This window comes from Homo sapiens, chromosome 22, assembly GCF_000001405.40.
Source record: "Homo sapiens chromosome 22, GRCh38.p14 Primary Assembly".
NCBI classification, from domain to species: domain Eukaryota; kingdom Metazoa; phylum Chordata; class Mammalia; order Primates; family Hominidae; genus Homo; species Homo sapiens.
In genome coordinates this window covers 37,658,590-37,671,985 of record NC_000022.11, presented here as the reverse complement: position 1 = coordinate 37,671,985, position 13,396 = coordinate 37,658,590, and the positions used below count along the sequence as shown (strand labels likewise).

The window sequence follows — 13,396 nt, the reverse complement described above, 5'->3', positions numbered from 1 at the left end:
ACAGAGCAAGACTCCATCACAAAAAAAAAAAAAAAGAATCAGGAGATGAGACGAGTGGTGAGTTCTGGTTTGGGGGCTGAGTGGCTGCAGCTGTAGCTGAGGTCCTTGGCTTCTCTGAACCCGTTTCCAGGCCTGGAAGATGGGAATAAGGCCACTGCTTGGAGGATGATAGGAGTGATGTCTAAGGAGGGGCTCGATGTTAGTGCTCCCTCCTGCATCCCCCAGGCTAAGGCCACCACCCCAGGGATTCTCCTCCCCACGTTATAACTGTCCTGAAATAGAGGCAGTGAGCTCTCTGGAATTCCTTTGTCCTGGGCTGGATCTTGGCTGCTGCCATGAGAAATGGGCTCAGCTTGGTCTAGACAAGTCATCCAGGCCAGCTCGGTCATTCCCGCCCTGCCAGGGACAGGGGGCAGAGGCGGGGAAAGGGAAGCTGTACCTCCTTCAGCTGGCGGTGCTGAAGGAGGGCGGCCCACAGAGGCGCCATCCACACCCGCAGCCAACCTGGGTGCTCCAGCCAGGGAAGGTAGGGGAGGTCAGAGCCAGCTTCTGAGTCCTAGAAGTCAGAGCAGGGAGGAACCCTGAGACACCGTGCCTGACCTGCTCCCCCATTTAATGATGCAGTTTAAGGTCGGGGAAACCACCCAGAGAGGGTGGCCACTTGACCAAAGTCACACAGGTAGCTAGGGCCGACCCGCTTTCATCTGCTGAACTAAAGATACCTGGGCTTGAAAAGCTATCTTTTCCCTCCTACTCTATGAAGGTGGGGGATGCCCCTGGCAACCTGGGCCCTTTTCCAGCCAGGTGGCACCTCAGCCCGCCCCTTCAACCCTGCTCATCCATTCTCACCTCCCAGCCTTTGTCCAGACAGCCCCCTCCACACCTGCCATTGGCCTTCCCACTTCTTGTCTGTATCTCTTCTGACTGCAGGCCTCAGCCCTCGGTTAGGGCCCCGCCGCTCCTCTCAGGTAAGGTCTGGGTGGGGGCCAGGTCCTTTCATTCACAGCCCTCCCAGACTCAGGCCTGAACCTTTACAATGCTTTTAGCATTTTATTTTATATTATTTTATTTTATATTTTATTATTTTACTTTTGAGACAGGGTCTCACTCTGTCACCCAGACTGGAGTGGATTATAGCTCACTATAACCTCAAACTTCTGGGATCAACCAATCCTCCTGACTCAGCCTCCTGAGGAGCTTGGACTGACTACAGGTGCACACCACTGGGCTTGGGTAATTTATTTTTATTTTTGGAGACACAGGATCTCGTTATGTTGCCCAGGCTGCTCTCTAACTCCTAGCCTCGAGCGATCCTCCCATCTTCGCTTCCTAAAGTGCTGGGATTACAGGTGTGAACCACTGTGTCCAGTGAGCATTTTATTTTGAAAATAATTATAGACACAAAGGAAATCTAAAAGCTTTTTAAGAGTTTAGAGTCTGGGCGCAGTGGCTCACACCTGTAACCCCAGCATTTTGGGAGGCTGAAGCGGGTGGATCATGAGGTGAAGAGATTGAGACCATCCTTGCCAACATGGTGAAACCCTGTCTCTACTAAAAATACAAAAATTAGCTGGGCATGGTGGCGTGTGCCTGTAGTCCCAACTACTTGGGAGGCTGAGGCAGGAGAATTGCTTGAACCAGGGAGGTGGAGGTTGCAGTGAGCCAAGATCGCGCCACTGCACTCCAGCCTGGCGACAGAGTGAGACTCTGTCTCAAAAAAAAAAAAAAAAAAAGAGTTTAGAAAATATCTGGCCAGGCATGGCGGCTCACGCCTGTAATCCCAGCACTTTGGGAGGCCGAGGTGGATCACTTGAGGCCAGGAGTTCGAGACCAGCCTGGTCATCATGGTGAAACCCCTATCTTTACTAAAAATACAAAAAAAATTAGCTGGGCATGGTGGGCATGCCTGTAATCCCAACTACTCAGGAGGCTGAGGTGGGAGAATTGCTTGAACCCGGGAGGCGGAGCTTGCGGTGAGCCGAGATCGCGCCACTGCACTCCAGCCTGGCCGACAGAGCAAGACTCTGCCTCAAAAAAAAAAAAAAAAGTCTGCAGTTGGGAGTTTCCATAGCACATTAATTCAGTGACTCAATAAAATCATCAAATGTCTAGGTTCTCGTGTAATCCTGGATGGTGGCTGTGTAGGCTGTCCTTGCTCTTAGGTCATACAAGCTGAAGAATTTTCGGTGAACTGTGTTAGCATCTGTAACATACTCTCAGATGGTTCAGTTAAAAAATGTAAACAAGCTGGGCACAGTGGTTCATGCCTGTAATCTCAGCGTTTTGGAAGGCTGATGCAGGAAGATCGCCTGAGCCCAGGAATCGTGGGCTGTAGTGTGCTAAGATTGGCATCAATATGGTGACCTCCTGGGAGAGGCAACCACAAGTTTGCCTAAGGAGGACTGTACTGGCCCTGGTCGGAAACAGAGCAGGTCAAAACTCCCACGATGATCAGCAGTGGGATCCTGCCTGTGAATAGCCACTGCACTCCAGCCTGGGCAACATAGTGAGACCCTGTCTCTAAAACAAAACAAAACAAAACAAAACAAAACAAAAGGGAAACCCCATTTCTGCAAATTTTTTTTTTGAGATGGAGTCTCACTCTGTTGCCCAGGCTGGAGTGCAGTGGCGTGATCTCAGCTCACTGCAACCTCCACCTCCCGGGTTCATGCCATTCTCCTGCCTCAGCTGGAATTACAGGCGCCCGAGTAGCTGGGATTACAGGCGCCCACCACCACGCCCGGCTAATTTTTTTTTTTTTTTGTATTTATAGTAGAGACGGGGTTTCACCGTGTTAGCCAGGATGGTCTCGATCTCCTGACCTCGTAATCCACCCGCCTCAGCCCCCCAAAGTGCTGGGATTACAGGCGTGAGCCACCGCGCCCGGCCAAAATTTTTTAAAAAATTAGCTGGGTGTGGTGGCATATGCCTGTGCTCCTAGCTACTCAGGAGGCTGAGGCAGGAGGATCACGTGAACCCAGCAGTTAGAGGCTGCAATGAGCCGTGACTGCACCACTACAGTCTAGACTCAGCAATAGAGTGAGACCATCTCTAAAACAGTAACAAAAAGTAAACATATATAAAGAGCAGTTAAGCAAACTGGGCAAATATTAACAACTGGTAAATCTAGGTGAAGGATGTAGCGGTATTCATTGTTATCCTTGCACCTTTTATATTAATTTGGAACTTTTCTAAATTACAAGTTGGGGAAAAACAAACCCAGTAAGTTCTTGCCGTCTTTCTGCTCTGCTACCTGCAACAGGGTCACCTGAGTTAAATGCTCAGCCATACCTCCTGATCACAGAATGGCTGCAACGGCTCCCAGGACCACACCCAAAGCCAGGAAAAGTGACTCCCTCCTCTATGTCCTTTAAAAGTGAGGCAAACAGCCAGGCGCGGTGGCTCACGCCTATAATCCCAGCACTTTGGGAGGCCGAGGCCAGTGGATTGCCTGAGCTCAGGAGTTCGAGACCAGCCTGGGCAACACGGTGAAACCACATCTCTACTAAAATGCAACAAAAATTAGCCGGGCATGGCAGGGTGCGCCTGTAGCCCCAGCTACTCAGGAGGCCGAGACAGGAGAATCGCTTGAACCTGGGAGGTGGAGGTTGCAGTGAGCCAAGATCGCACCACTGCACTCCAGCCTGGGTGACAGAGAGTGACTCTGTCTCAAAAAAAAAAAAAAAAAAAGAAGAGGAAAAAAAAAAGAATGAGGCAAACATTCCAGACCTCTCTTCATGTTTCATTGGTCAGAAGATTAGCCAATCACTGACCCAGAGGAATCAAATTACTGCGATTGGTTTACACTCAAGCTTTAAACTCATTAAGACTCAGTGCTTAGAGACGGGGCAAGATGGCTCACGCCTGTAATCCCAGCACTTTGGGAGGCCAAGTTGGGGAACACTTGAGGTCAGGAATTTGAGACCAGCCTGACCAACATGGTGAAACCCCACCTCTACTCAAAATACAAAAATTAGCCACGCGTGGTGGCATTAGCTGGGTGTGGTGGCAGGCGTCTGTCATCCCAGCTACTTGGGAGCCTGAGGCAGGAGAATCACTTGAACTTGGGAGGCGAAGGTTGCAGTGAGCCAAGACCGCACCACTGCACTCTAGCCTGGGTGACGGAGGGAGAAACTATCTTAAAAAAAAAAAAAAATTCTGTGCTTAGGCTGGGTGTGGTGGCTCACGCCTGTAATCCCAGCACTTTGGGAGGCTGAGGCAAGACTGTGTGGAGGCAACCATTTCCTTACTGGTGGAAGGGGAAGGGAAAGGGGGGTAGGGTCACATGGACCAATAGCTGTGTCCCATCCAGATGGGCTATGACCCAAGCCAGGCCAATGAGAATCTGCCCTAGGATGTTGGTTGGGGATTCAGAACTGAGAAGGATATACCTGGAGGGTGCTAGACCACCTCAGGGAGCAGACCGAAACCCCCTAAGCCTTAGCCATGTTGAGCTTTTTTTTTTTGAGACGGAGTCTTGCTTTGCTGCTCAGCCTGGAGTACAGTGGCGTGATCTCAGCTCACTGCAACTTCAAGCGATTCTCCTGCCTCCCAAGTAGCTGGGACTATAGGCACACCGCACCACACCTGGCTAATTTTTTTTTTCTTCCCGAGACATTGTCTTACTCTGTCACCCAGGCTGGAGTGCAGTGGCGTGATCTCGGCTCACTGCAAGCTCTGCCTCCTGGGTACACGCCGTTTTCCTGCCTCAGCCTCCTGAGTAGCTGGGATTATAGGCGCCTGCCACCACGCTCGGCTAATTTTTTGTATTTTTAGTAGAGACAGGGTTTCACCGTGTTAGCTAGGATGGTCTCGATCTCCTGACCTTGTGATCCACCCACCTTGGCCTCCCAAAGTGCTGGTATTACAAGCGTGAGTCACCGCGCCTGGCTATAAAGCACTCTTGACTCAAAGTATCGCTACACACAGAAGACACTCAGGAACAGGAATGGGTCATTTCATGCAGAGAACAATGTGGTGGGCCAGGTCCAGGGAGAGCACACTCCAGCAGGGGGTCCTCCTCCCTCCCCAAACATAGACTCAAACACAGGTGAACACTCCCACGCGCACTTTATTAAGTACGGAAGGACAGGTCACAACAGGGGTGGAGGTGGCGGGGAAGGCCCAGCCCCCACCCACCATCACTGGCACACAATAAATAAATAAGTAAATAGCCAAGTGGGCACGGGAGAGAGGTGGTACTGAAAACACTGACCGCACAGGGGGACACGAAAGCCCCCCTTCGAGCTGTGGCCATCAACGCTGTACGGGTACCATGACCAGGAAAGGGTGGGGCTTGGCCACAGAAGCCCCAGAGCATCACAAGTCTTTGTAAAGGAGAGGTGTCTTTAGGACGTGGACCACTCTTATTTACTGACTGAAACCTGGACCCCTAGCTGGTCCCGTGAGACCCAGATTATCAAGGGGCCACTGTCTCTCAGGCTTCTGGACTGTTCTACTGAGGATCTAAAAGACCACTGGGTCACTATCACTTGGGGTCCTGATGGGTCCACCCAGGGACCTAGGACATGCGAGGGTCATCGTCACTTAGGCTTCCGATTGGTCCACTCGGGCTCCAGGACGTGAAAGGGTCACTATTACTTAGGAACCTAAACTGGTACCCCACAGGACCCAACATTGATGAGTCACTATCACTTAGCCTTTGGATTGGTCCACCCAGGACAATAAGGGTTGTGGTTCCCTAGACCTCTGGTTGACAAGGACCCAAGGGCCAGGACCTGAGGGGCAGAGAGAGCTCTAGAAGCCCCAGGGAAGGGGGAGAAGACTAAGTACTCAGGGATAGAGGGAATCTTCAGCAGGCACCAGGGCCCAGATTTCAAGGAGGGGAGGTGACAGGGAAGAAATAAGGCCACCTGGCTGGGTCAGGCCAAGATGAATCCATAGGGGACCAGCTTCTGGGGCAGCAAAGAGTGCCCAGCCACTGCTGGGAGGGGGTTGCAAGGGCCCTCAAACCTTCCCCGGGTCCCAGCCCCACCCCGGTGCAGAACTGGACCAAGGAGCCGGTTGTGCTTAACATGGCTCGTGACCCATCGCCTCCACCTACGGGATCAGGGAGTGGGGAGGGGTGGGCCTGTGGCTGCAGGTGCAGTGGGCTCAGTCCTCCAACCCCTCTGTCAAGTCTGCGATGCTCTCCACATAGTAATGGGGCACGAGGTCGTGCTGGCCGGCCGCTAGGTAGGCCTGGGCCTCTTCTAGGCGGGAGACTCCTGTGAGCGTGAGCACAGTGGTCATGCCGCAGCGGTGGCCAAAGAGGATGTCGGTCTCCAGGCGGTCACCCACCATAAGCGTGCGTGCGGGGTCGATGCTGAAGTTCTCCGTGATGCACTCGAACATGTAGGGGCTGGGCTTGCCCACCACCAGGGCCTGGCGTCCCGAGGCTGTCTCCACTGCAGCGGCCAGGCTCCCGGTGCCTGTAGGGAGATGGAGACGCAGTCAGCAGGAGGGCGGCAGGGACAGCGTCAGGCCCTGAAACTGGAAGTCCAGGGAGGTGGATTGTGCCAGGGTCAAATCGGCTGCTGACAGGAGCCAGAAAGCCCACTTCCGAGTCTCACTGTAGTGGTTAAGGGTAGAGACGGCAACCAGATGCCGGCATCTGGACTCCATCTCCACCGTTCTTGGCAGGCTAGCTAACCTCTCTGTGCCTTGGTTTCCCCATCTCTAATATGGGGATGTCTACGGCACTTATCTCATGTGGGTACTGTGAGGATGCGTGGAGCTACTGCAGGTAAACAGGGCCTGGCTCGGTCAGTCCTGCCTGAGGTTCGCGATTTCACCCTGACAGCCGTGGACCTTTGGACAAACCACTCAACCACCCCAAGTTTCTCCGGACTCCTGAGAAAGCGGAATCCAAGTAATGCCTACCTCCAAACGGGCGCTGGGCAACACAGGGGCAAGTGCTTTGTAAATGGAACAGCACTTAACAAATAGCAGTTGTGGTTACTGCTGCAGGAATTCACGCGGCTGGCGTTAGAAACTGGCACAGCCCCTTTGGAACACAGCGGGGCACAGAAATGTTCGCACCTCTGACCCAGTCCGCGTCCCCCGGGAAAGTGATCACAAGAAGAGAATTCCAGCTGGAGACAAAAAGCTGCAGGCTGGAAGACGTCTGTGGCTACAGTAACCGATAAGCCAAACTGTGGAACACTCCCGAGTGTCCAACAATAGGAGGACTGTTTAGAACTAAAGGACAGTCCTGTCTTCCAGCCCAGTACCATCCTGCCTCACACAATAAGTCCACTGTGCCTGTCCCACAGACGTGTCTTTGTGCCAGAACATTCGGCCTTCATGCTAATGTCCCTGAACAAATGATGATAATCACCATTTACTAAGCACATTCTAAACTGCCTGGCCTGTGCTGGGTGTTTCTGGAAGCCCATTTTACAGATGAGAATGCCAAGGCTCAGGGACATTAAGTAATTTGCCCAGGGTTGTACAGCTTCATAAGTGGCAGCAAAAGGATTTGCATTCGGGTGGGTCCAACCCAGCTCTGACCTGGGAGTACAGATTGTTTCCTATGCAGGAATTTTATGAGCTGGTTGTTAAAGGAAGGTACTATTAAGAGTCACTTTATGGCTGGGTACAGTGGCCCATGCCTGTAATCCCAGCACTTTGGGAAGCACAGGTGGGAGGATTGCTTGAGCCCAGGAGTTCAAGACCAGCCTGGGCAACAGGGAGATCCCATCTCTACTTAAATATACATATATATTTAAAAAATTAAAAAAAAAAAGAAAAGCTGGCTGGGCACCGTGGCTCATGCCTGTAATCCCAGGACTTTGGGAGTCTGAAGCAGGCGGATCATCTGAGGTCAGGAGTTCAAGACCAGCCTGACCAACATGGTAAAAATCCGTCTCTACTAAAAACACAAAAATTAGCCAGGCATGGCGGCGCATGCCTGTAATCCCAGCTATTTGGGAGGCTGGGGCAGGAGAATCACTTAAGCCCGGGAGGCGGAGGCTGCGGTGAGCTGAGATGACGCCACTGCAGCATTCCAGTCTGGGCGCCAGAGCTAGGCTCTGGCTCAAAAAAAAAAAAAAAAAAAAAAAAAAGTCAACGTATTCCAGGCACAGCTGCATTTAAAATAAATAAATAAAAGGCCCAGCCTGCACCATGAAACCCCGTCTCTACGAAAAATAAAAAAATTATTGGCCTCTGTAACACCGACATCCGGTCCAGGGCACTCTTCACTGCTGTCATCTTGCGAATTTGGCCCTGCAGGGGAGGCAGGAGCAAAAGGAGGCCCCTCCACGGTGGAGGGTTTGAGTCAGACAAAAGCAGGTGGCAGCAGAGGCTGACTGGCAGTGGTCAGTGTGTGTGGACAGGTTAATAGCCCAGTGAGTAGACTGGGGGTGTGGACAGATCTCTGTCACTCCCTCTCTGCTGGCCACTGACCCGGACAGTCATTGATATTAAATCCTGGGGGTACAGGATGATATTGAGTGAAGAGAAGTGGACACAGGATTATAGTGGGGTACAGTGGCATATACCTGCAGTCCCAGCTACTCAGGAGGCTGAGGCAGGAGGAGTGCCTGAGCCCAGGAGTTTGAGATTAAAGTGAGCTGTGATCTTGCCGCTGCACTTCAGCCTGGGTGACAGAGCGAGACCCTGTCTCAAAAAAAAGTCAGCTTACAAACTTACAACTATATGATTTTTTTTTTTTTTTTTGAGACGGAGTCTCGCTCTGTTGCCCAGGCTTAAGTGCAGTGGCGTCATCTCGGCTCACTGCAAGCTCCACCTCCCGGGTTCATGCCGTTCTCCTGCCTCAGCCACCCGAGTAGCTGGGACTACAGGCGCCCGCCACCATGCCCGGCTAATTTTTTTTGTATTTTTTTAGTAGAGATGGGTTTTCACTGTGTTAGCCAGGATGGTCTTGATCTCCTGACCTCGTGATCCACCTGCCTCTGCCTCCCAAAGTGCTGGGATTACAGGTGTGAGCCACTGTAACCGGCCCATGGTAATCTTTTATTTATTTATTTATTTAGAGATGGAGTCTCGCTCTGTCACCCAGGCTGGAGTGCAATGGAGCGATCTCAGCTCACAGCAACCTCTGCCTCCTGGGTTCAAGCCATTCTCCTGCCTCAGCCTCCCAAGTAGCTGGGATTACAGGCGCGTGTCACCACACCCAGCTTATTTTTGTATTTTTAGTGGAGACAGGGTTTCCTCATGTTGGCCAGGGTGGTCTCGAACTCCTGACCTCAAGTGATCCACCTGCCTCGGCCTCCCAAAGTGCTGGGATTACAGGCATGCGCCACTGTGCCCGACCTAAATGATAATGTTTAAAACAAAGGTAGTAAGTTCTCAAAACTCATCACTTCTTAGTTACTGAACCACACTAGCCTCTGCTCTTTTTGCTCTTGAGGTTCCACCGTACCTGTGATGGTGGAAATCCTGTATGAAGGTGTGTGCTACTGCACATCTCTTCCTGACCCCACGTTCAGGGACTGACTGCACGTTGGTAGCTCAAGATCGGCTGTACTGGGAGTATTTACACCACAGAAGCCAGCACATGGTATAATCATGGCTTTCCCTGCTATTCCATGTTTCTCAGCGCACCACTGGTCTGACCCCAAATGCTCTGGGCCTCCTGTCTCCCTTCCCAAGGCTGACAACACTCCACTCAGTTAAGCCAAAGGCAAAGATGGGGAAGGGGAACAAAGGGGAAAACAGGCGGGGAGAGCAAGAATCCTCAGCCCTGCTGTCCCCAGATGAGGAAGAGAAACTTCCCAGGCTCACAAGATCAAGGCCGAGGTGGGCCAGAACTCATGCTTTCAGGCTGGCCCAGGGCAACACCCCTGGGAGTTCTCCCCTCATCTGACATCTTGTGACCTGCCTATTTTAAGAACTTGGTAGAGAATAAAAATTAGCTGCGTGTGGTGGTGGGTACCTGTAATCCCAGCTACTGGGGAGGCTGAGGCAGGAGAATCGCTTGAACCTAGGAGGCAGAGGTTGCAGTGAGCCAACATCAGGCCACTGCACTCCAGCCTGGGTGACAGAGCAAGACTCTGTCTCAAAAAAAAAAAAAAAAAAAAAAAAAAAAAAAAAAAAAAAAAATTAAAGAAAAAGAGAGAGAATAAAAGCCACGTGCTCCGTTGGTGAGCGATTCCTTCTGGGACAGAAAGGGCTTCCACTGAGTCATCCCAAAATGTTCTTCTGAGCTCAAGAATGGCCCCAACTCTGTCCTTCCCCACCAGGATGGAGCTGTTCACCTTTGGGCCCTGTGTCCCACATCCTTCATTCAGCTAATATTTACTAAGGCCCAACTACATGCCAGACACGGGATAGAGCAGTCAACACTACAAAGATCCTGACCTCAGGGGAGCGAGCCTCCTAGCAGGGGCATCTGGGAACATCGCCGTCTCCCAGGCCACCATCATTCCACTCCCCTCCACTCTGTAATCCACCGCTCTGCATGTTATGCTGATGACGTATTCCTAAGACAGCAGGCCTTTCTATTTGTCAGCTCAAGTGGCTGCCATGTGGTGACAAGATAAACACACAATTTCGGAGGTCCCTGGGGCAGGGGAGGAGGAGTTGGGGGTGAGATATTTGCATTATTTCAGACATACACATCATGGGGGCTTTTATTAATATTGTCACACCACACCACACCACACACACACACCACACCACACCACACTGTTTGAAAGCTGCATCAAGCTGTGCACAAACATGATCGCAGTGCTGTATTTGTTAAGCCTCTGCCTCCCCCTCTAGGCTATGGGAGTGACAGCAGGATGGGTGGGCACAGCCAGGTGGCTACTGAGACCAAAGGGGTCTGGATTCCACAGACGCCTGCAAGGCAGGTGTGGGCAGGGCCTGGTTTCTCCCTAGCTCCTTGACAACCAGCCTTCCTGAGCCCTGGGGAACCTCTTAACCCACAGCCTTAACCTGAGCCTTGAGGCCTCCTGGGAAAAACTTTTCATAGCATAGCCTAAGGCAGGCAGGAGCTGCTGCCGCTGACAGCCCTGACCAGAGAGCCCTCAACACAGACTTATAGGGAAACTGAGGCTGAGGTGAGCCCGCCCACATACCAAGCAGGTGTGCAGCACAGCCAGGAGAGGCCAAGGACTACAGAATCCCTCTCTGCCATGCCATAACACTGGGTTTACATCTCCTGGTGTATTATCACTGCCCTGCATCATGCCTCCTCCAGGAAGTCTTCCTAGGTGCCCCTGGCACTAGGCCCTGCTCACCACCCCACCATAATCCTGTGTCTACTTCTCTCCACTCAATACCATCCTGTACCCCCAGGATTTAATATCAATGACTGTCCGGGTCAGTGGCCAACAGAGACGGAGTGACAGAGATCTGTCCACGGCCCCAGTATACTGACTGGGCTATTAACCTGTCCACACACACTGACCACTGCCAATTAGCCTCTGCTGCCACCTGCTCTTGTCTAACGCAAACCCTCCACAATGGAGGAGCCTCCTTTTGCTTCTGCCTCCCCTGCAGGGCTGAACTCGCAAGATGACAGCAGTGAAGACTGCCCTGGAGGTCGGTGTCACAAAGGCCAAATTCAGGTTCCCGCGCTCTATCACTCTGCCAGAGAGTTGCTGGCAGAATTCTGCCCCACCCATCATTGGGGTGCGGTTGGAGGGTTGGAGGGGAAGCCTGCGAGGACTGTCCCTACTTGTGAGGGCTGAAACACCAATTCCCAGAGGCAGGATGGAGGCAGGTGTGTGGGGACACAGGAGGTGGAGGGGCTCACTATATCTGTTCTTGGGCAGCTCACTTCCCTTCTCTTAGTCTCAGTTTCTTTCCTCTTCTTTTAGAGATAAGGTCTCACTATGTTGCCCATGCTGAAGTACAGTGGCTTTTCACAGATGCAATGATAGCACGCTACAGCCTTGACCTCCTAGGCTCAAGCAATCCTCCCGCCTCAGCCTCTCGAGTAGCTGGGACTACAGGCTGTTGCCACTGCATCCGGCTGCCTCAGTCTCTTTACTTGAGAAATGGGACAATAACTTCCATCTCCAGAGTAATTTGGAAACCAAAGAAGAACACACACAAAGCTGTTTCATTAAGTTCTCTGTAACATGGGGGACTCTGGCTACAACTTACATCATCTGAACACCTACTATGTGCCAGGCACTCACCCTGATCACCGTCACCGGGCATGCTGAGCACTGCCATTTCTCACCCAGGCAGAGATGCTTGGAGGTTATGTAACTGAACACGATTACACAGCTGTGAAGCTGGAGCTGGACCTGGAACTGAGGTCAAACTCCACCGCCTTTGCTCCCCACACACCTGCCTACACCCTGCCTCTGGGAATGGTGTTTCAACCCTCACACAGGGGGACAATCCTCCCAGGCTTCCTCTCCAACCCCACCCCGATGGTGGGTAGGGCAGAATTCCGCCCAACTCCCTAAGTTACAAAGGGCCTCAGTTTCCTCATCTGTCCAACAGGGACCACACTGCTGCGCCTCACAGGATGACGGCTACAGGGATCAACCGCCCCCCACACCAAAGCACCCTGGGCCTCCCTCGCACTCTCCTGTTCCCCACCTGCCACCTGGAGACGCCTCTTCCCCGCCCCTCACCCTTAGGCGTGGAGGCGAATGCGCAGGTCGCCCCCATCTCAGTTTCCCCGCCATTCCCGCGCTCACCAGGGGTCCGGCTGCCGTCGCTCAGCGGGTGCCATGGGTCACGGTCGGTGGCCACGAGTAGGCACTCGGGGTCGCGCAGGTGCGCGCACGCCTCCCTCAGCTTGGCGAAGGAGAAGTGCTCGTCGTAGCCCACAAGCACGGCGCGCACGCGCGGGGCCGCGCCGTCCCCCGCGCTCGGGTCCCCGGCCAGGCGCAGCCCCGCGGCGCGCAGCTCGGCGCGCAGCCCCTCGCCGCCCAGCACGAACACGGCGCCCGGCGCGTCCGGAGGCCCGGGCAGGCGCTGGCGCAGCAGGCGCGCGGCGCACAGCGCGGAGCTGAAGAGCTGCTCGGCGCGCAGCCCCCCGAAGCCGAGGCGCGCGAAGCGCAGGGCCAGCTCGGGCCGCGCGCGCCGGCTGTTGTTGCTCACAAACAGAGCCGCCTTGCCGGCCCGCGCCAGCCGCTCCAGCAGCTCCGGGGCGCCCGGCACGGCGCGCTCGCCGTTCCACAGCACCCCGTCACAGTCGAACAGGACCCCCTGCGCCCGGCCCAGCACGTCGCGCAGGGCCGCTCCGCGCAGCCTCTCGCAGCGCGCCATGCAGCCGGCCGGCCGCCGGCCTCCCGCGCCGCGCTCTCTCCGCGGGCACGGCGCGCTCTCCCTGGCACGTTCCACGCAGCCGCCAATTGGCGCGCTGGAAGGACCGGGGGGCGGGGCGACGGCGTGGCCTGCAGCCAATGGGGGCGAGAGTCTGGGAGAGGAGCGAAGCCGCGAGCTAACGGAACTTGGAGAG

At 53.8% G+C, this 13,396-nt stretch overlaps 1 protein-coding gene and 1 pseudogene across 1 annotated transcript, besides 5 other annotated features; one reads left to right on the top strand and one right to left on the bottom strand.

The window, feature by feature from the left end:
* Positions 2,247-2,522, top strand: RN7SL385P (RNA, 7SL, cytoplasmic 385, pseudogene; annotated as a pseudogene).
* PDXP (pyridoxal phosphatase) lies at positions 5,054-13,263 on the bottom strand. Its single transcript, NM_020315.5, has 2 exons — positions 12,630-13,263; positions 5,054-6,431 (listed from the first exon to the last, which is right to left on the bottom strand). Exons 1-2 carry the CDS (start codon positions 13,201-13,203, stop codon positions 6,115-6,117), a joined length of 891 nt encoding a protein of 296 aa, NP_064711.1. The 5' UTR covers positions 13,204-13,263; the 3' UTR covers positions 5,054-6,114.
* Positions 11,038-11,548: an enhancer, noted in NCBI's record as "H3K4me1 hESC enhancer chr22:38056445-38056955 (GRCh37/hg19 assembly coordinates)". NCBI's record gives its function as "activates a minimal SCP1, AML or CMV promoter by ChIP-STARR-seq in primed H9 embryonic stem cells {active_cell/tissue: H9 hESC(primed)}" and the evidence as "EXISTENCE:reporter gene assay evidence [ECO:0000049][PMID:30033119]".
* Positions 11,549-12,060: an enhancer, noted in NCBI's record as "H3K4me1 hESC enhancer chr22:38055933-38056444 (GRCh37/hg19 assembly coordinates)". NCBI's record gives its function as "activates a minimal SCP1, AML or CMV promoter by ChIP-STARR-seq in primed H9 embryonic stem cells {active_cell/tissue: H9 hESC(primed)}" and the evidence as "EXISTENCE:reporter gene assay evidence [ECO:0000049][PMID:30033119]".
* Positions 12,767-12,876: a silencer, noted in NCBI's record as "silent region_13692". NCBI's record gives its function as "represses an Ori minimal core promoter by ATAC-STARR-seq in GM12878 lymphoblastoid cells {active_cell/tissue: GM12878}" and the evidence as "EXISTENCE:reporter gene assay evidence [ECO:0000049][PMID:35858748]".
* Positions 12,887-13,388: an enhancer, noted in NCBI's record as "H3K27ac hESC enhancer chr22:38054605-38055106 (GRCh37/hg19 assembly coordinates)". NCBI's record gives its function as "activates a minimal SCP1, AML or CMV promoter by ChIP-STARR-seq in naive H9 embryonic stem cells {active_cell/tissue: H9 hESC(naive)}" and the evidence as "EXISTENCE:reporter gene assay evidence [ECO:0000049][PMID:30033119]".
* Positions 13,077-13,386: a silencer, noted in NCBI's record as "silent region_13691". NCBI's record gives its function as "represses an Ori minimal core promoter by ATAC-STARR-seq in GM12878 lymphoblastoid cells {active_cell/tissue: GM12878}" and the evidence as "EXISTENCE:reporter gene assay evidence [ECO:0000049][PMID:35858748]".

Coding starts and splice junctions, on each gene's coding strand:
- PDXP (NM_020315.5), bottom strand. CDS start 13,203: ATGGCGCGCTGCGAGAGGCTGCGCGGAGCGGCCCTGCGCGACGTGCTG. Junction 6,432..12,629: donor CGACGGCAGCCGGACCCCTG/GTGAGCGCGGGA, acceptor ATCTCCCTACAG/GCACCGGGAGCCTGGCCGCT.